At 41.1% G+C, this 21466-nt stretch overlaps 1 protein-coding gene across 2 annotated transcripts in view, besides 1 other annotated feature; it reads left to right on the plus strand.

The window, feature by feature from the left end:
- SLFN5 (schlafen family member 5) overlaps positions 1-17361 on the plus strand; it is a 30584-nt gene extending 13223 nt beyond the window's left edge. Inside the window, exons 2-5 of one of the 2 annotated variants that reach the window (NM_144975.4) lie at positions 2357-3408; positions 4677-4802; positions 7889-8609; positions 8778-17361. In NM_144975.4, coding sequence (NP_659412.3) covers positions 2397-3408; positions 4677-4802; positions 7889-8609; positions 8778-9594 — 2676 coding nt within the window. In that variant the 5' untranslated portion in view covers positions 2357-2396 and the 3' untranslated portion in view covers positions 9595-17361. The remainder of the gene's footprint in view (positions 1-2356; positions 3409-4676; positions 4803-7888; positions 8610-8777) is intronic. The other variant, NM_001330183.2, reaches the window with a different exon arrangement.
- Positions 419-1618: an enhancer, noted in NCBI's record as "BRD4-independent group 4 enhancer chr17:33583732-33584931 (GRCh37/hg19 assembly coordinates)". NCBI's record gives its function as "activates an origin of replication core promoter dependent on BRD2, P300/CBP, MED14 and CDK7 cofactors, and independent of BRD4, by STARR-seq in HCT116 cells {active_cell/tissue: HCT116}" and the evidence as "EXISTENCE:reporter gene assay evidence [ECO:0000049][PMID:35650434]".
- Positions 17362-21466: the final 4105 nt, after the last annotated feature.

The raw sequence follows: 21466 nt of genomic DNA on the forward strand, positions 1-21466 counted from the left end.
TTTACACTGAGCCGAGATCACACCACTGCACTCCAGCCTGGGCAACAAGAAGTAGACTCCATCTCAAAAAACAAAACAAAATAGTGCATGTAATAGTGAAAGTGGATGTCATTTTCCATATTGAGAATGACTTTATTACTGTGTATTTCCAATTTTTTGCTATTTTGAACAGCAATCCTTTGAAAATTCTTGTTCATCTCTCCAGGATATCTGCTTTTTTTTTTCTGTTTTAATCTCACAAAACACTACCAGTTTGGTTCTTTTACACCTGTTTCAGAGTATATGCAAGTAGGTTAAAACAATTTTCCTAAAGACACAAAGCTGGCAAATACTGGGAGTTTGAACTCAGGGTTTCCTCATTCCACAGCCCAAGTGATTTACTATTACACGATGCCACCTTCCTTTTAGTGATTGCCTTGTGGCACAGCTGCATGAAATTGTGGATACTGAGGTCAATCAGGTCATAAAAAGCCTCTTTTGATCTGATTTCATGCTTATCAAGCAGCCTTCTGAAATCTGGCTTCACATACTCTACACCAGGGGTCCCCCTGGCCCTGGACCAGTACCTGACTGTGGCCTGTTAGGAACCAGGCTGAACAGCAGGAGGTGAGTGTAAGTGAGCATTACCGCCTGAGCTTTGCCTCCTGTCGTATCAGCGGTGGCATTAGATTCTCATAGGAACATGAACCCTATTGTGAACTGTGCATGTGAGGGATCTAGGCTGCGCACTCCTTATGAGAATCTAACTAATGCCTGGTGATCTGAGGTAGAACAGTGCCATCCTGAAACCATCTCCTCACCAACCCCCAACCCCCATCCGTGAAAAAATTGTCTTCCAAGAAACTGATCCTGGGGACCACTGCTCTAAATCTACAGGAAGGAATGAGATGCTTTGAAATAAACACCTGAGCTCCCCCATATTTACATTTCCCACTGAACAGTAATCAAGTATCACTGTGACTCAGCTATTTCTGTTTTGAGTTTGGGGTACGAAATCACCTTCCCTCAGAAGGGAACTTTGGGGTCCTAAAAAGATTAATTTTATGGTCCTGACATGTCGAAGACTAGGTCTTAGATACAATTAATTTCACCAAGGACCTGCCATTCCAGTGGCAATTCTTGGCAGCCGGACAGGTGGCTTTTCCTGGCAACACCCCAACAAAAACTTGAGCTCTTTTGCCAATGTTTACATTGTGTACTCATGATTTATTATCTACTGGATCTCAGATCCTTTGTTCCCGCTGGAGTAAAGCAATTTTTTTTTTTTTGCACTAGTGCTTGATGTCTTGTGGAGTTACTATGGAGCAAGCTGAATAACTGCAGCCTGGTGCTGAGATGTTGGGCTCAGTCTTGCCTATGCCCCTTGTCACTGAAAATGCCCCTGCTCACAGAAACACAGCTAGGATGTATATATATGATTTTTTTTTGACAAGATGGAAACCGTTTGGATTAGGGGAAGCTGACGTCGTTGCTATGTATCTGTTCCATAGCAACAATGACAGGTTGCCAACTCAATCAGATGTGTCCCCTCCCAATATTAGGCTACAAAATAATCTGAAAATTGCCCAAGTCTCAGGGAGAGGAGAAAGACAAAGAATCAAGAAAAACAATAAATATTAGCACACCCCAGAGATACTTCTGACCACGAAAGCTTTCTCATTGCTTTCCAGCTCCAGTCCACAAATATCAATGTAAAATTTTCTATTTTCTGCAGGTGACCTGCGAGACTCTGCCACTTTGAGAACTTGGCAGATAGTTACTAAATACACAGCATAAATATAACCTGTTGGTCATTTCTGTGGTGGTGGTGTGCTTCCAGCAGACTCAGCTCCTCAACTCACCTTACAAGCTTAATTCATGTATAAATCTGACCTCAAGCTATGTGGGAATTTCATTCATCCATTTTCACACTGCTGTTAAAGACATACCTGAGACTAATTTATAAAGAAAAAGAGGTTTAATGGACTCACAGTTCCACATGGCTGGGGAGTCCTGACAATCACGGTGGACGGTGAAAGGCACGTCTTACATGGAGGCAGGCAAGATAGAAATGAAAGCCAAGTGAAAGGGGAAACCCTTTATGAAACCATCAGACCTCGTGAGACTTATTCACTACCATGAGAACAAAATGGGGGAAACTGCCCCCCATGACTCAATTATCTCCCACCGGCTTCCTCCTACAACATGTGGGAATTATGGGAGCTACAATTCAAGATGAGATTTGGGTGGGGACACAGTCAAATCATATCAGGAATAAATGAAGGGACCAACCTCAGTAGGATGGCCTTAATCTGTTGGTTTTCCTGCCTCTCCTATTCTTGTCCTGTTCTAATGGTTCTATCTTTCTGTTTTTCAGGAGAACATTTCAGGATAGGAATAGGCCAAGTGCTGAGAAGATGAGTCTTAGGATTGATGTGGATACAAACTTTCCTGAGTGTGTTGTAGATGCAGGAAAAGTCACCCTTGGGACTCAGCAGAGGCAGGAGATGGACCCTCGCCTGCGGGAGAAACAGAATGAAATCATCCTGCGAGCAGTATGTGCTCTGCTGAATTCTGGTGGGGGCATAATCAAGGCTGAGATTGAGAACAAAGGCTACAATTATGAACGTCATGGAGTAGGATTGGATGTGCCTCCAATTTTCAGAAGCCATTTAGATAAGATGCAGAAGGAAAACCACTTTTTGATTTTTGTGAAATCATGGAACACAGAGGCTGGTGTGCCACTTGCTACCTTATGCTCCAATTTGTACCACAGAGAGAGAACATCCACCGATGTCATGGATTCTCAGGAAGCTCTGGCATTCCTCAAATGCAGGACTCAGACTCCAACGAATATTAATGTTTCCAATTCATTAGGTCCACAGGCAGCTCAGGGTAGTGTACAATATGAAGGTAACATAAATGTGTCAGCTGCTGCTTTATTTGATAGAAAGCGGCTTCAGTATCTGGAAAAACTCAACCTTCCTGAGTCCACACATGTTGAATTTGTAATGTTCTCGACAGACGTGTCACACTGTGTTAAAGACAGACTTCCGAAGTGTGTTTCTGCATTTGCAAATACTGAAGGAGGATATGTATTTTTTGGTGTGCATGATGAGACTTGTCAAGTGATTGGATGTGAAAAAGAGAAAATAGACCTTACGAGCTTGAGGGCTTCTATTGATGGCTGTATTAAGAAGCTACCTGTCCATCATTTCTGCACACAGAGGCCTGAGATAAAATATGTCCTTAACTTCCTTGAAGTGCATGATAAGGGGGCCCTCCGTGGATATGTCTGTGCAATCAAGGTGGAGAAATTCTGCTGTGCGGTGTTTGCCAAAGTGCCTAGTTCCTGGCAGGTGAAGGACAACCGTGTGAGACAATTGCCCACAAGAGAATGGACTGCTTGGATGATGGAAGCTGACCCAGGTTAGGGAGCAATATCCACAATGGTTGTAATGTTTGCTGGCAGCAAGGCAGGGCGGGTCAGAGAGGAAAGAGGGATATGGTATTCCTTGGAATCTGGGGAAAGAGATTTACTCTCTGATTTGCAATTGTCTGACTTATTAATCCCTGTAGATGTAGTTCGTGGATTATTGCCCTTCCTTTCTTCTGCCATCTTAAATAGTCTTCATTCAACAGATGCCCTGGCTAGTAGCCCCATTAAAGGCTGGTGCAGGGGGCTGTTTGACCTAGTTATTTCAATTTTCACATCCTTTCTTATGTTCATAGTCAAGCCTCTTATTTTTCAATTATGAGCTTGCATTTAATTATTTAGGAAATTTCTTTTTTTCACATGTACAGATGTGTCCACTTTAATTTACTGCCACTTTCCTCTGACTTTCCCTTCTTAAATATTCACCCTTTCTCACTGCCCACTTCCATTTTTTGAACCAAAATATGACCAAATCACGGCTTTCGCTCTGCTTTCCCATTTTTCCTTTGGGGAGCCGGTACGTGATAAGCCAGAGGATGGTTGGTGACATGCATCTATCCTGGAAAAGGAAAGCCTGAGATAAAATTAGACAGAGAAAACCAATAGTAACTTCTTCAAAGGTCCAGAAAAAACAAAGTCCACCTCAGAATCTGCTCAGGTGTCTATATCCATTGGCCTTTGCATCTTCTCATCATTTTTCTTTAAAAAGTAGCATTCTAAAAATATAAAAACAGTCTGGGCACGGTGGCTCATGCCTGTAACTCCAGCACTTTGGGAGGCCGAGGGGGGCAGATCACCTGAGGTCAGGAGTTTGAGACCAGCCTGGCCAACATGGTGAAACTCCGTCTCTACCAAAAATACAAAAAATTAGCTGGATGTGGTGACGCACGCCTGTAATCCCAGCTGCTCAGGAGGATTGCTTGAACCTGAGAGACGGAGGTTGCAGTGAGGTGAGATCATGCCACTGCACTCCAGCCTGGGCAACAGAGTGAGACTGTTTCAATAAATAAATAAATAAATAATAGAAATAAAAATAGTTTTGTTTTGACATAATAAAATTAAAAAGTGTTGCTTTATGCTAGGTTATTTTTTCCTTCAAAAACCTCAGTAGGCTTTCCTGAGCTGACCTGAGATGTAAAGGCAAGTATCTGTGGGCCGTGGCTTGAGTTGTAAGACTAGGTGAAAGACTTTGTAGCACAGCTCAGCTATAAGTTGGGGTCTGCCTTTTTGCATATTGAATCCTTGGTTCTTGTTTCCTAAGACCTTTCCAGGTGTCCTGAGATGGTTCTCCAGTTGAGTTTGTCATCTGCCACGCCCCGCAGCAAGCCTGTGTGCATTCATAAGAATTCGGAATGTCTGAAAGAGCAGCAGAAACGCTACTTTCCAGGTAATTGGCCATCTCTGGTTGCTTTGGAATATGTTGATTGTTCATTCATATAAAAAATTGACTCCTACTTTATATTATATACAGAATCAATTCCAGAGGTTTAAGGACTTAAATATGAAAGCCAAACCTTTAAAACTTTTAGTAGAAAGTGTATATGAATAATTGTATCATTGGGGTAGGAAAGCATTTCCTAAACCAGACACAAAAGGATCAAACTTAAAAAGACTGATAAATTTTACTACATTAAAATTAAGAACTGTTCCTCAAAATATACCTTAAAGAAAGTGAAAAGACTGGGCACAGTGGCTCATACCTGTAATCCCAGCACTTTGGGAGGGTGAGGTGTGGAATTGCTTAAGTCCAGGAATTTGAGACCAGCCTGGGCAACATAGCAAGACCCCATCTCTACAAAGTAGCAGCACTCTACTATGCCAGGCTAATTTTTTAACTTTTGTAGAGATGGAGTCTCCCTGTGTTGCCCAGGTTGGTTTCAAGCTCCTGGACTCAAGCGATCCTTCCACCTGAGCTTCCCAAAGTGCTGGGATTACAGGCATGAGCCACCACGCCAAGCCACCAGTCTTTTTTTTTTTTTTTTTGAGATGAAGTTTCGCTCTTGTTGCCCAGGCTGGAGTGCAACGGTGAAACTTTGGCTCATTGCAACCTTCACCTCCCGGGTTCAAGCAGTTCTTCTGCCTCAGCCTCTCAGGTAGCTGGAATTAGAGGCGCATGCCACCACACCCAGCTAATTTTTTTTGCATTTTCAGTAGAGACAGGGTTTCACCATGTTGGCCAGGCTGGTCTTAAACTTCTGACGTCAGGTAATACACCCACCTCGGCCTCCCAAAGTGCTGGGATTACAGGCATGAGCCACTGCGCCCAGCCCAATCATTTTTTTGATGGACTTTTATATGACGTCTAATTTTTTCATTTTTAAACAATGCTATAATATACATTTTACCATAATATACCTGAGGTGTTCTTTAAGGATAAATTCCAAGTAGTGGCCAGGCACAGTGGCTCAGGCCTGTAATCCCAGAGCTTTGGGAGGCCAATGCAGGCGGATCACAAGGTCAAGAGATCGAGACCATCCTGGCTAACACAGTGAAACCCTGTCTCTACTAAAAATACAAAAAATTAGCTGGGTGTGGTGGCATGCGCCTGTGGTCCCAGCTCCTCGGGAGGCTGAGACAGGAGAATCGCTTGAACCCTGGAGGCGGAGGTTGCAGTGAGCCAAGATGGCACCACTGCACTCCAGCCTGGGCGACAGAGGGAGACTCCATCTCAAAAAAAAAAAAAAAAGAAAAGGAAAAGAAAAAAAAATTCCAAGTAGTAATAATTACTTGTAACTTTAGATGGATATTGCCAGATTGTAAGCTAAAACATATACCCAAATACACTTTGACCAACCAACATGGTATTATCACGGCATTTCTCTTCTGGAAGAAGCTTAGAATCATTTTATCCTATCAAAAAGAAAAAAAGATGGCCGGGTGAGGTGGCTCACACCTGTAATCCTGGCACTTTAGGAGACCGAGGTGGGAGGATCACTTGAGCCCAGGAGTTCAAGACCAGCCTAGGCAACATGGTGAAACTCTGTCTCTACAAAGAAATACAAAAATTAGCTGCATGTGGTGGCATGCACTTGTAGTCCCAGCTACCTAGAAAGCTGAGGTGGGAGAATCACCTGAGCTCAGGAAGTAGAGGCTGCAGTGAGCCATGATCATACCATTGTACCCCAGTTTAGGTGACAGAGCAAGACCCCGTCCCCCCCAAAAAAAAGTCTCCATGCTGTCCCTTTTTAGTCAAACTCTCCCCAAATCCCTAACCTCTAGCATCCATTGATCTGTTGCCTGTACCTATAGTTGTGCTTTACAGAATGTCAGGTAAGTGAAACCATACAGTACGTAATCTTGCCAGGTGTTAAGATGGCACTCTAATGCCTTCCTCACCATCCTTGTTTCCACCTCTTTGCCTCGCACTTTGGATGTCAGCAACACAAACTGCTTGGAGTGACCTGAATGGACCTTGCTTTTTATTTATTTATTTTTTTTTGAGACAGGATCTCACTCTGTTGTGCAGGCTGGAGTGCAGTGGTGTGACCTCAGCTGGCTGCAACCTCCGCCTCCTGGGTTTAAGCGATTCTCGTGCCTCAGCCCCCCGAGTGGGTGGGATTACAGGCACGCACCACCATGCCCGGCTAAGTTTTGTATTTTTTGTAGAGATGGGGTTTCACCATGTTGGCCAGGCTGGTGTTGAACTCCTGGGCTTAAGTGATCCAACTGCCTCGGCCTCCCATGGTGCTGGGATTACAGGCATGAGCCACCACGCCCGGCTTCCTTGCTGTTTCTTGTCCCTGAGTGTTAGTCATGTGCCCTCTTTTGACCATGTCTCTATTCTCCTCTTCAACTCACTAACTCCAAGTCATCCTTTAATAATCAGCTCAGGGCTGGGTGCGGTGACGCACGCCTGTGATCCCAGCACTTTGGGAGGCCCAGGCGGGCAGATCACTTGAGCCCAGGAGTTTGAGACCAGCCTGGCCAACATGGTGAAACCCCAGCTCTACTAAAAATACAAAAATTAGCCAGGCTTGGTGGCACACGCCTTTGGTCCCAGCTACTTGGGAGGCTGAGGCAGGAGAATCACTTGAACCCAGGAGACAGAAGTTGCAGTGAGCCGAGATCGCACCACTGGTGCGACAGAGCAAGACTCCATCTCAAAAAAAAAAAAAAAGAAGAAGAAAGAAAAAGAAAAAAGAAAAAAAAGAATCAGCTCAGGTGTTTCCTTCTTCATAAAGACTTTCATATTTTCTTCTTTCCTAAATTGTACCTTTCCTTGGTATTCACATAATACTTTCTGTCCTTCTCTCTAGTTGTATTGACCACTTTTTACCATAATTATTATTGTCTGTTTATACCAGCTAATTAGCGCCCCATCAAAATAAGAATTGTTTATCTTTTTATTACTAATGTATAACCTATTGTAGATACATAGTAGAGTCCCAGTGTTGATTAATTCTTCTACGTATAATGATGATTACTAGCTTGTCTGAGGCTTTTCTAATTTCTTCCCATCCTTTCCCTGTCTAGTATTTTCAGACAGAGTGGTATATACTCCAGAAAGCCTCTACAAGGAACTCTTCTCACAACATAAAGGACTCAGAGACTTAATAAATACAGAAATGCGCCCTTTCTCTCAAGGAATATTGATTTTTTCTCAAAGCTGGGCTGTGGATTTAGGTCTGCAAGAGAAGCAGGGAGTCATCTGTGATGCTCTTCTAATTTCCCAGAACAACACCCCTATTCTCTACACCATCTTCAGCAAGTGGGATGCGGGGTGCAAGGGCTATTCTATGATAGTTGCCTATTCTTTGAAGCAGAAGCTGGTGAACAAAGGCGGCTACACTGGGAGGTTATGCATCACCCCCTTGGTCTGTGTGCTGAATTCTGATAGAAAAGCACAGAGCGTTTACAGTTCGTATTTACAAATTTACCCTGAATCCTATAACTTCATGACCCCCCAGCACATGGAAGCCCTGTTACAGTCCCTCGTGATAGTCTTGCTTGGGTTCAAATCCTTCTTAAGTGAAGAGCTGGGCTCTGAGGTTTTGAACCTACTGACAAATAAACAGTATGAGTTGCTTTCAAAGAACCTTCGCAAGACCAGAGAGTTGTTTGTTCATGGCTTACCTGGATCAGGGAAGACTATCTTGGCTCTTAGGATCATGGAGAAGATCAGGAATGTGTTTCACTGTGAACCGGCTAACATTCTCTACATCTGTGAAAACCAGCCCCTGAAGAAGTTGGTGAGGTATGCTGCTTGTCTGTGTTCACTTTATTTTCTTGAGTGACTGTGGCTGGTGTGGCTTTCAGTTTACTTGCTAAAATTCATATTGTATTTACCATGACCAGAGGGGTTTAAGAGTAGAATCTGCTTTCTTTGTTTCATTGGGGAAAAACCTGACTCTGTTTCTTACAGTTTCAGCAAGAAAAACATCTGCCAGCCAGTGACCCGGAAAACCTTCATGAAAAACAACTTTGAACACATCCAGCACATTATCATTGATGACGCTCAGAATTTCCGTACTGAAGATGGGGACTGGTATGGGAAAGCAAAGTTCATCACTCAGACAGCAAGGGATGGCCCAGGAGTTCTCTGGATCTTTCTGGACTACTTTCAGACCTATCACTTGAGTTGCAGTGGCCTCCCCCCTCCCTCAGACCAGTATCCAAGAGAAGAGATCAACAGAGTGGTCCGCAATGCAGGTCCAATAGCTAATTACCTACAACAAGTAATGCAGGAAGCCCGACAAAATCCTCCACCTAACCTCCCCCCTGGGTCCCTGGTGATGCTCTATGAACCTAAATGGGCTCAAGGTGTCCCAGGCAACTTAGAGATTATTGAAGACTTGAACTTGGAGGAGATACTGATCTATGTAGCGAATAAATGCCGTTTTCTCTTGCGGAATGGTTATTCTCCGAAGGATATTGCTGTGCTTTTCACCAAAGCAAGTGAAGTGGAAAAATATAAAGACAGGCTTCTAACAGCAATGAGGAAGAGAAAACTGTCTCAGCTCCATGAGGAGTCTGATCTGTTACTACAGATCGGTGATGCGTCGGATGTTCTAACCGATCACATTGTGTTGGACAGTGTCTGTCGATTTTCAGGCCTGGAAAGAAATATCGTGTTTGGAATCAATCCAGGAGTAGCCCCACCGGCTGGGGCCTACAATCTTCTGCTCTGTTTGGCTTCTAGGGCAAAAAGACATCTGTATATTCTGAAGGCTTCTGTGTGACAGGAAACCCAAGCCTAAGAAACAATTAAGTGGTTCTCATCTCTAATTAACTGTGAAACCATTTAATCCAAACATGTAAGCACACACTCACTTATTAAGTCACATACTTTTCTAGGTGCTGGGGATTGAGAACGAATCGATGTAAGATTCCTCCTTTAGGGCAGAGACAGACCACTGACAAATACACAGATAGACAAGGAATTTCCCATGGTAAAAAGGGATATCAGTAATTAGAGGACCGTGAGACTCAGAGATGTGTGTGTGTGTGTGTGTGTGTGTGTGTGTGTGTGCGCGCGCGCACGTGCACATGTGTGTAGGTAGATGGAGGGGGTGATTATTTTGGGTGGTCAGGGAAGTGCTCAGTGAGGGAAGAACTTGTCATGAGAATCTCTGAGCGTGCCAGGCAGACTCGGATATTTTTATAAATTTTTAACATGGCCACTTGCAGAAGAGCTTGAATGGGACGTGCAGCGAGAATGTGAAGGATGGAGCAGGTAGCTCATCTGGCCTTGTAGGTGCCGGGAACGGGCAAGACATGTTTTGAAATGTAAGATCACAGACTGTTTTTTGCAAGACCACATTATATTACTTTATTATTTTCTGCTTTTTCTTTTAACGACATTAGTGTTTTTGATCACTATATTTTAAAATGCTTTTTGTGAGCCTTTTGGTTATGTGGAATCTGTTCCTTAGCTCTGATTTTTTATTCTTATGGAGCGTCTTAGGTTACTACATGAAGGTAAGACTGCCACAGTCCCCCAGGGAGGCACACTGTGTTTTACTGATTGATTTGAAGATGATAGAGAGCCTAGGGGGATGAGTCTATTGGACTCAAAGGTTACATTTTGTTTTTCCATTTAATTTAATAATCAACAAAACGACAAAGTCAGTTTAATATCTTTCTTCTGCTGAGTCTTCAGGATGTTAGCTAGTCTTTCAAAAGCCATTGCTACAAAAGTGCAAATTTCTCATTTCCTGTGGGTCTCTAGAAACTCTCTCAATATTTAAAGCCAAACAAATCCATCTTTTCTGAGAGACAGAAACTAAAAAATTCAGAGTTAATTCACTATTAAAAACAGCAAGGCCCTGCTATTTCCCAAGAATAAAGAAATTTAAAATTCTCATTGTAAGAAGTATGAACTTGAAGCTAGAATTGGTTTATTTCTGGCAGCTACTTACAATATTAAGAACTTTACTTTTTAAATTTGAGACAATTTCACAGGAAAGCAAGAAATTAGTCTATTGTGAAATGTTTTTACAACTAACTTGGAATATACTGCAAATCACTAGTAAGTAGAGACACATTTAAGATAAAATGATTAATAAAACAATTGGTAATTCTGAATAAGGATCTGAATAAATCCAGATCACAGACTGTTCCTTTACCAATATGTAAAAGAATGTGCAAAATTAGTAAAAATATACCCAAAAATTTACCAGCAACAGAGAAGCAAAGAATGGAGTTCAACCTTACACTATAAACATCTAATAGATATGTATGAAAATTTAAAAACTAGAAAAGGTTGGGCATGGTGGCTCATGCTTGTGATCCCAGGACTTTAGGAGGCCAAGGTGGGAGGATTGTTTGAGCCCAGGAGTTCAAGACCAGCTTGAGCAATATAGTGAGACCCTGTCTCTACAAAAACAAACAAACAAACAAACAAATAAATAAATAAATAAAATTAGCTGGGAATGGTGATGCACACCTGGAGTCCTAGCTACTCAGAAGGCTGAGGCAGGACGATCACTTGACCTCAGAAGTCTGAGGTTACAGTGAGCTATGATCATACCAGTGCACTCCAGTCTGGGTGACAGAACAAGACCCTGTCTCCAAAAATTAAATAAATAAAACAAAAAAAAAGAATTTAAAAGTTTTATATAAAGGCATAGCTACTATCTCATCTGCCCAGTGTAGTCATGAATAGATGTCACATAAAGAAAAGAAAACCAGAATTCTTGTTAATATGGCCAGTTTGAAGGGTGGTGGCGGAGGTATTGAGCAGGCAGCTCAGGGAAATGCCAGGGAGACCCTTGAGCACAGAAACTCCTGATTGTCCCCAGGGACTCTCCGTGGACACAGGAGGGATTTTCCAGGATTTCACATGAATTCAATGAAGGGGGCTGTGTCTTATTCCTGGATGCTTTGCCTCCTTCATGGAATTCAGTGGATTTAATGGAAGTTCCTAGGCAACAATAAAGAGTAGAAACCAGGTTAACAGCGAGGGCCTCATCTCACACCAGATCATATCAGGCTACACAAAAGTAGATGGAAGACACCACCCAGGCCTCCAGCTATACACTGGAGAAGAAGCCAAACTAGTCTACTTCATCTAAGAAAGTTGTCAAAGAGAGCCCTTCTATACTATCTTAAGGTAAAAAGAAAGACTCTACCCAGCTGCCCTGATTAAGCATTAGAAAGATAAGTGTTCTGATCATTAGGCGAAAGACAATGGGGAAAAATGTAGAAAAGAAATATGACATGAGCCAGATGAAGAACCCATCCTGAAAGGATATATAACTCAGGGGACAAAAGACAACTCACCATAAGTTGGGCGCAGTGGATCACGCCTGTAATCTCAGCATTTTGGTAGGCCAAGGCAGGTGGATCACCTGAGGTCAGGAGTTCAAGTCCAGCCTGGCCAACGTGGTGAAATCCTGTCTCTACTAAAAATACAAAAATTAGCTGGGTGTGGTGGTGCATGCCTGTAATACCAGCTACTCAGAAGGCTGAGGCAAGAGAATTGCTTGAATCAAGGAGGCAGAGGTTACAGTGAGCCAAGATCAGGCCATTGTACTTCAGCCTGGGCGACAAAGTGAGACCCTGTCTCAAAAAACAAACAAAGCCTCCCCATAGATGTCTCCTGCCATAGAAGAATTTAAGAAGTTCATAAATTCAATAAAACAAGAGTTGAAGGCCTGTCCCACTGTACCCAATTTCTCCCTCTCTGAACTGCAGCCTAGAAACTCTCTACAGGCAGTAAGCTGGGGCAGTCACAGAGGTGACCTCATCTGTTTCCCACATCCTGCATTAGGACAGTGATCAGGGATCAGTATCCTTCATTGACTGATTTCCAATATCTCGAGACCTGTTGTTTCATATATTTTGCCTTATTTTGCAATTGTTTCATATATTTTGTCTTATTTTGCAATTGTTTCAGGAGGGAGGATAAATATGGTCCCTGTTCCTCTATCTTGACCAGAAGCATCTAAGAAGGCAGTGAAGCAACATGTGTACAGTTCTTAGGGAAACAAATTTTGACCTAAAAATATTAAACCTAGTCAAAATATTATTCTAGTACAAAGGCAGCACATGGGTATTTTTGAACATAAAAGAGTTCTAGAAATACAGGACCCATGAATCATTCTTGAAGAAAAGTTACTCAGTAAGGAAATCTAGCTAAGCAAGCAACATGTACAAATAAAAGATTATTATAATTGGACCAAAGTTAAGTTTAAATCCATTCACATGTATATAATTAAGATATATAGGAATTATAATTACAGAAAAGAATGTTACAAACCTTCACAAAGTAAAAATATTTTTATATCAGATAGATTCTTCTGTTTCAATCCATAAAACCAGGGTTTGGATCATTTTAAAAAAACAAACAAAAATAATTTATTGGAATCATTAGGGAGGACCTGATAGAATAAAATGACAAGCTGACCAAATAGGCCTTAGAAGGGAGAGGTGCCTGGGCAGTTACAAGGACCTAGGTAGCAGGGGTGACTTGGCCACAGTCATTTTCTTTACTTGATTTAAGGAGGTTAAATTACAGTGAGAGAGTTGCACTTATTTAGTTTGCATACCGTACTCAACTCTTAGCTAGCATAGGGCAGGTTCCTTAGTTGAAAAATTTCCACAAAACATGATGTAAAGTGGAAAGATCAGTTCCCCCAAAGAATATCAGTTACCAAAGTAGGATGAAAGGATGTTGGGTAGATCAAAACAACAAATGTCCATTACAGCAATTAACAAAAGTTAGGGAGTGGGGAAGTCTGAGTGCTAATATGGATTTCAAAACAACTTTAAAAATGGCTTCAAACATTTTATGCTTTTTGTAATTTAGTCATTTTAATATTAGATAAATCTTCCTGTAACTGAAAGTTCTTGAGTTAAAGAAAAATATTCGGTAGTTCAGCTCTTCCTTCAATTTTATTAGTTGCTTTTTCTTTTGTTCAAGTGAAATAAACATAAAAATAATTTTAAAATATTATGTATCATATCCTTCGATTTAACATAATTCTATCTAGCTGTTCTTATATTTTCTCTGATATATTTTTAAAAGCTTTCTGGAATATTATTAACCTTGAATATTTCTAGTTGATGAGTTTATGAGTGATTTATTGCTTCCTTTTCTCTTTCAGTATTGCTAGAATTAATTTTATTGACTTTGCCCCTTTGCATAAAGACCTTGAAGGTCACATGCTGAAATCGCCCTCTACTAAAACAAACTCATAGAAATAATGGGGAAGATATTTCAAAACATTGCCATATGCATAGCCATCCTCACAACCAAGAAAAGCGCCTCTCCATGAACTAAAACCTATGAGTCATTGGTACAGGTAGGGAAAATCTAGGTAAACCACGGTAATACACTGAGGCTGGCACCACCACAGGCCAGGACAACCGTTGTCACAAAGCCAGGACAGAATCTCCCAGCCAGAAAGTGTTGCCCTGAGGCTGAAGCCAAATTCATTTTGCCCCCAGTTGGCCAGACCAAAGCCTAGAACTAAAAAACCCATACCTCAGGGTTTGTCAGCATTGGCACTGCTGGCTTTTTGGGCTGGACAACCATTTATTGTGAGAGGCTTCTCTATGCACTGTAGGATGTTTAGCAGCATCCTTGGCCCTACTCCCTAGACGCCAGTAGCAAATCCACCACCCTCCCTCCCCTACCCCAGGGTTGGTTGTCAGTTGTGACAACCAAAAATGTCTCCAGACATCGCCAAATGTCCCTTGGGGGGTAAAATCACCACCACCATACCTCTTTTGACTAAAAGAGTTTCCAGAATAGTGGCAGAATATATAGGTCAAGCATAACACATTACAATCAAGATTCAGAACATCAAAGATTCTTTTTTAATCCTAAAAGAAAAAGTTTGGAAAATCTACAAAAAGAAGTGTGAATTTGACAATAACTATTTCACTAGCAAGGGTAGACGTAAGCAGAATACAGGTAGCATATTCAAACTGCTGTGGAAAAACAACATCAAACCTAGACTTCTCTCCCCAAACTATCATTCAGAGTCGAGGGCAAAATAAATAGATTTTCTGACTTGGAACAAGTAGGAATAATGTACTTATAGTATTCATCTTCATACAGGGATGGACTATAAGTGATTTTTAAAAAACTTCCTACTTGTTCCAAGTCAGAAAAACTATTCATATAGGGATGGGCTATTAGCAAGAGTATATGAATAACGTACTATAACAAGAAAAAATGAATTGAGAAGAAAGTAGTGGTTTTAAGAAGGAAAGGAGAACAAATAAATTAGTGAAACATAAGGTTAAGTCTATACATATTATTTTCTAATTGCCTATTATGTCAGACTACATGTAGTTAGAAAATACGATGAAAGAAAAAGCCATATTATAATTCCAACAAAAAGATAAAATAATTAAGAATAACTGCAACAAGAAAATATAAGTTCTGCAACAATAAAACTATACAATGAAACTAAAGAGCACAAAAAAGAACTTAAACAGATAAAAAGCAGACCACGTTTTTGGATAAGAAGATTAAAAATTATAAATATATCAATTTTCACTGTTAATCTATAAATTCAGTGTAATCCCAATAAAAATGCCAACAGGTTTTCCCCAATAGCATTGAAATGATTTTAAAATTTAATGAAGGCCAAGCATGGTGGCTCACTCCTGTAATCCCAGCACTTTGAGAGGCCGAGGCAGGTGGATTGCCTGAGTCCAGGAGTTCCAGACCAGCCTGGACAACATGGTGAAATCCCGTCTCTATTTAAAATGCAAGAAATTAGCTGGGTGTGGTGGTGTGCACCTATAGTCCTAGCTACTCGGGAGGCTGAGGTGGGAGAATCACCCAAGCCTTGGGAGGTCGAGGCTGTAGTGAGCCAAAATCACATCACTGCACTCCAGTCTGGGCAGCCAGAGTGAGACCCTGTCTCAAAAAAAAAAAAATTATTGGAAACTACGAGGCAAGAATATCCAAGAAAAATCTAGAAAAGAAGAAACCTGAGTGAGTCAGCATGACCAAATATTAAAACATCTTATAAAGCTACAATAATTAAAACAATGTGGTGCTGATATGTGGAGGGTCAATGGAACAAGATGAAATGGCCAAAAATAAATTTAAAATACATGTTGAAATGTATTAACAGCATATGTTAAAGTTAAGTTATGTTAACTTTATATGTTAAATTCAAGTTAATTGGGGAAAGATGGATTATTCAATATATGATGAACAACTCTGTCACCCAGCTAAAAAAAATTAAGCTTGGGCCATATGCCAGACTAGATACCAAAATAAATTCCAGGAGGACCAAGTTTTTAAAAGTAAAAATATGGAATCATGGAAGTGCATGAAGAAGAAGTAGCACTTAAAAAAATAATAATCTCAGCATGGGGAAGGTCTAAGTATGGCCCTCAATCAGAAACCAGGAAGGAAAATATTGACTATTTTAAACAAAATTATCTCTGTACCAAAAACAGCATAAAAGGTCAAGAAACAACACACTGGAAAAAGAATTGCAATGAATATCACAGCCAAATAGTTAATTTCTTATTTTCAAAAAATAGCTTCTACAAATCGAAGAGAAAAATTCTAAGGTCTCAAAGGAAAAATGAGCAAAGGATTTGACAGGTGGTAGAATACAGAAAAAGAATTTAAAATAGCTCCTAAAGATATGGAAACATTACTCATGATAGCAGAAGTATCAATTGACAAAATTACTCAGATTGGTAACAAACTTTAAGGGGGAAAGCACTTCCATGCATTGCTGTAAATTGGTACATCTTCTACTGAGAACAATCCGGCAGTAGTTAACAAAATTGTGAATGCATATATCTCTTTCTCTAGAAATTTCTCTTTTGGGAATTTATTCTACATATATATTCAAACGTGTGAAATACTTCTATACAGGTGATTGAATTTCACTTTATTCCTAAGAGCAGAAGACTGCAAAATAGTAAATATATACCCAAAAGGGTCTAATGGATTAGTTTTTGGCATATCAGCACATGATAATACTATGAAGCCATAAAAAAGAGAGATCTCTATATGTATTGATGGGGGACCATCTTTAAGATATACTGTGGTGTTGAACAAAACAACATGCTGAAAATGTCTCTTATTCTTTTAGAATCAATATAAGTCTGTGCTTGTAAATGCAGTAAGTATCTTTGGAAGTATACCTAAAAATTGGTAATAGTGTTTGACTCCAGGGAAGAACAGATGGGTGCCAGAGTGAAAAAAAGATAGCTTTTGCTTTTTATGACTTTTGGATTCTGTACCACGTAATAATTTTGATGTAAATTTTGCTGTGTGTGTTTTTACTTGTTCATGTAGTGATTTTATAAATTACTCTTTTAATTTTCTATCAATGAATATCCTGGGATAAACCCCTCATGATCATAATGAATAATGATGTGTGGAGAGTGGGGAGGGTTTACATATGAAAAATGTAGAAAATACAAAAAGTGTCTATATATACAAAAATGTAAGTGTTAACATTTTTATATTTGCTTCAAGCTTTTTTTTTAAATAAAAGAAATGCAATATTGCAATTAAATTTGTGTTCTTCTTTCTTCTGTTTCACATCCAATTTATCTCCCCTTCCTCCAGAGGCAGTAACTATCATGGCTTTTGTGGGTATCCTTCAGGCTGTTAGTTTTACACACACACACACACACACACACATCAGATCACACTATCACTAGTGGTGGCATAAGATGAAGTGAAGGTAGAGGACAAGGTACTGGGAATTCCAGTTTATGAATTTAGTTTCGAAAGGGATTTAGTTTCCATGGCAACAATAGTCATTATAAAGATTGTAAATTGGCATTTTCGATAGCTCTAGGAAGTTTAGACAACGAAAAAATTGAGATTGAAAGAAAAACTATCCAGCTGAGAATATCCATAGAAAACTGGAATGCCTTGATGACAGTTTTGGACAAGTCCCTCATCCTCTATAGATGCAGGGCAGATATGACTGAGCACCAAGCCAAGGACCTAATTGTAACGGATGGTGAGTTCAATGCCAATGAAATCTGCAACCACATCACATCTCTTTCAGTAAGGGAAAAGCACTGGTATGGAAGCAGTGGGACCTTGAGACACGGCATAAGGATATTTGGGCAGATACTGAGAACTCTGGAGCCCCAAATACCTTTCAGACAGGCAGCTACATTGTGCCTAAGAGGATTATCCTTCCTTGCCAAAAAAAAAAAAAATGCCTTCTATTGACTGAATGACTGCTCCCCACTCCATAATAAGAGTTAGATCTCGGGGGTGGAGCCAAGATGGCTGAATAGGAACGGCTCCAGTCTACAGCTCCCAGCGTGAGCAACACAGAAGACAGGTGATTTCTGCATTTACAACTGAGGTACAGAGTTCATCTCACTGGGGAGTATCGGAAAGTGGGTGCAGGTCAGTGGGTGCAGTGCACCGCGCATGAGCCAAAGCAGGGTGAGGCATCGCTTCACCTGGGAAGTGCAAGGGGTCAGGGAATTCCCTTTCCTAGTCAAAGAAAGGGGTGACAGATGGCACCTGGAAAATCAGGTCACTCCCACCTTAATGCTGCACTTTTCCAACGGTCTTAGCAAATGGCACACCAGGAGATTATATCCTGCACATGGCTCCGAGGGTCCTATGCCCACGGAGCCTTGCTCATTGCTAGCACAGCAGTCTGAGATCAAACTGCAAGGCGGCAGCAAGGCTGGGGGATGGGCGCCCACCATTGTCCAGGCTTGAATAGGTAAACAAAGCTTCCAGGAAGCTCAAACTGGGTGGAACCCACCACAGCTCAAGGAGGCCTGCCTGCCTCAGTAGACTCCACCTCTGGGGGCAGGGCACAGCCAAACAAAAGGAGCAGAATCTTCTGCAGACTAAAATGTCCCTGTCTGACAGCTTTGAAGAGAGCAGTGGTTCTCCCAGCACAGAGCTGGAGATCTGAGAATGGACAGACTGCCTCCTCAAGTGGGTCCCTGACCCCTGAGTAGCCTAACTGGGAGGCACCCCCCAGTAGGGGCAGACTGACACCTCACACAGCCAGGTACTCCTCTGAGACAAAACTTCCAGAGGAACGATCAGGCAGCAACATTTGCTGTTCACCAATATCCACTGTTCTGCAGCCTCTGCTGCTGATACCCAGGCAAACAGGGTCTGGAGTGGACCTCCAGCAAACTCCAACAGACCTGCAGCTGAGGGTCCTGACTGTTAGAAGGAAAACTAACAAGCAGAAAGGACATCCACACCAAAACCACATCTGTACATCACCATCATCAAAGACCAAAGGTAGATAAAACCACAAAGATGGGGTAAAAACAGAGCAGAAAAACTGGAAACTCTAAAAACCAGAGCGCCTTTCCTCCTCCAAAGGAACACAGCTCCTCACCAGCAATGGAACAAAGCTGGATGGAGAATGACTTTGACGAGTTGAGAGAAGAAGGCTTCACATGATCAAACTACTCCGAGCTAAAGGAGGAAGTTCAAACCCATGGCAAAGAAGTTAAAAACCTTGAAAAAAAATCAGACGAATGGCTGACTAGAATAACCAATTCAGAGAAGTCCTTAAAGGACCTGATGGAGCTGAAAACCAAGGCACGAGAACTACATGATGAATGCACAAGCCTCAGTAGCCAATTTGATCAACTGGAAGAAAGGGTATCAGTGATGGAAGATCAAATGAATGAAATGAAGTGAGAAGAGAAGTTTAGAGAAAAAAGAATAAAAAGAACGAACAAAGCCTCCAAGAAATATGGGACTATGTGAAAAGACGGGGAGAATGGAACCAAGTTGGAAAACACTCTTCAGGATATTATCCAGGAGAACTTCCCCAACCTAGCAAGTCAGGCCAACATTCAAATTCAGGAAATACAGAGAACGCCACAAAGATACTCCTCGAGAAGAGCAACTCCAAGACACATAATTGTCAGATTCACCAAAGTTGAAATGAAGGAAAAAATGTTAAGGGCAGCCAGAGAGAAAGGTCGGGTTACCCACAAAGGGAAGCCCATCAGACTAACAGCTGGTCTCTTGGCAGGAACTCTACAAGCCAGAAGAGAGTGGGGACCAATATTCAACATTCTTAAAGAAAAGAAATTTCAACCCAGAATTTCATATCCAGCCAAACTAAAGCTTCATAAGTGAAGGAGAAATAAAATCCTTTACAGACAAGCAAATGCTGAGAGATTTTGTCACCACCAGGCCTGCCTTACAAGAGCTCCTGAAGGAAGCTAACACATAATAATCTTAACCTTAAATGTAAATGGGCTAAATGCTCCAATTAAAAGACACAGAGTGGCAAACTGGATAAAGAGTCAAGACCCATCAGTGTGCTGTATTCAGGAAACCCATCTCACATGCAGAGACACACATAGGCTCAAAATAAAGGGATGGAGGAAGATCTACCAAGCAAATGGAAAACAAAAAAAGGCAGGGGTTGCAATCCCAGTCTCTGATAAAACAGACTTTAAACCAACAAAGATCAAAAGAGACAAAGAAGGCCATTACATAATGGTAAAGGGATCAATTCAACAAGAAGAGCTGACTATCCTAAATATATATGCGCCCAATACAGGATCACCCAGATTCATAAAGCAAGTCCTTAGAGACCTACAAAGAAACTTAGACTCCCACACAATAATAATGGGAGACTTTAACACCCCACTGTCCACATTAGACAGATCAACGAGACAGAAAGTTAACAAGGATATCCAGGAATTGAACTCAGCTCTGCACCAAGCAGAGCTAATAGACATCTACAGACCTCTCCACCCCAAATCAACAGAATATACATTCTTCTCAGCACCACACCACACTTATTCCAAAATTGACCACATAGTTGGAAGTAAAGGACTCCTCAGCAAATGCAAAAGAACAGAAATTATAACAAACTCTCTCTCAGACCACAGTGCAATCAAACTAGAACTCAGGACTAAGAAACTCACTCAAAACCGCTCAACTACATGGAAACTGTACAACCTGCTCCTGAATGACTACTGGGTACATAACGAAATGAAGGCAGAAATAAAGATGTTCTTTGAAACCAACAAGAACAAAGACACAACATACCAGAATCTCTGGGACACATTCAAAGCTGTGTGTAGAGGGAAATTTATAGCACTGAATAACCACAAGAGAAAGCAGGAAAGATCTAAAATTGACACTCTAACACCACAATTAAAAGAGCTAGAGAAGCAAGAGCAAACACATTCAAAAGCTAGCAGAAGGCAAGAAATAACTAAGATCAGAGCAGAACTGAAGGAAATACAGACACAAAAAAAATCCTTCAAAAAATCAATGAATCCAGGAGCTGGTTTTTTGAAAAGATCAACAAAACTGATGGACCGCTAGCAAGACCAATAAAGAAGAAAAGAGAGAAGAATCAAATAGACCCAATAAAAAATCATAAAGGGGATATCAGCACCAATCCCACAGAAATACAAACTACCATCAGAGAATACTATAAACACCTCTACACAAATAAACTAGAAAATCTAGAAGAAATGGATGAATTCCTCAACACATACACCCTCCCAAGACTAAACCAGGAAGAAGTTGAATCCCTGAATAGACCAATAACAAGTTCTGAAATTGAGGCAATAATTAATAGCTTACCAACCAAAAAAAGCCCAGGACCAGATGGATTCACAGCCGAATTCTACCAGAGGTAC

Source organism: Homo sapiens, chromosome 17 (assembly GCF_000001405.40).
Source record: "Homo sapiens chromosome 17, GRCh38.p14 Primary Assembly".
NCBI classification, from domain to species: Eukaryota; Metazoa; Chordata; class Mammalia; order Primates; family Hominidae; genus Homo; species Homo sapiens.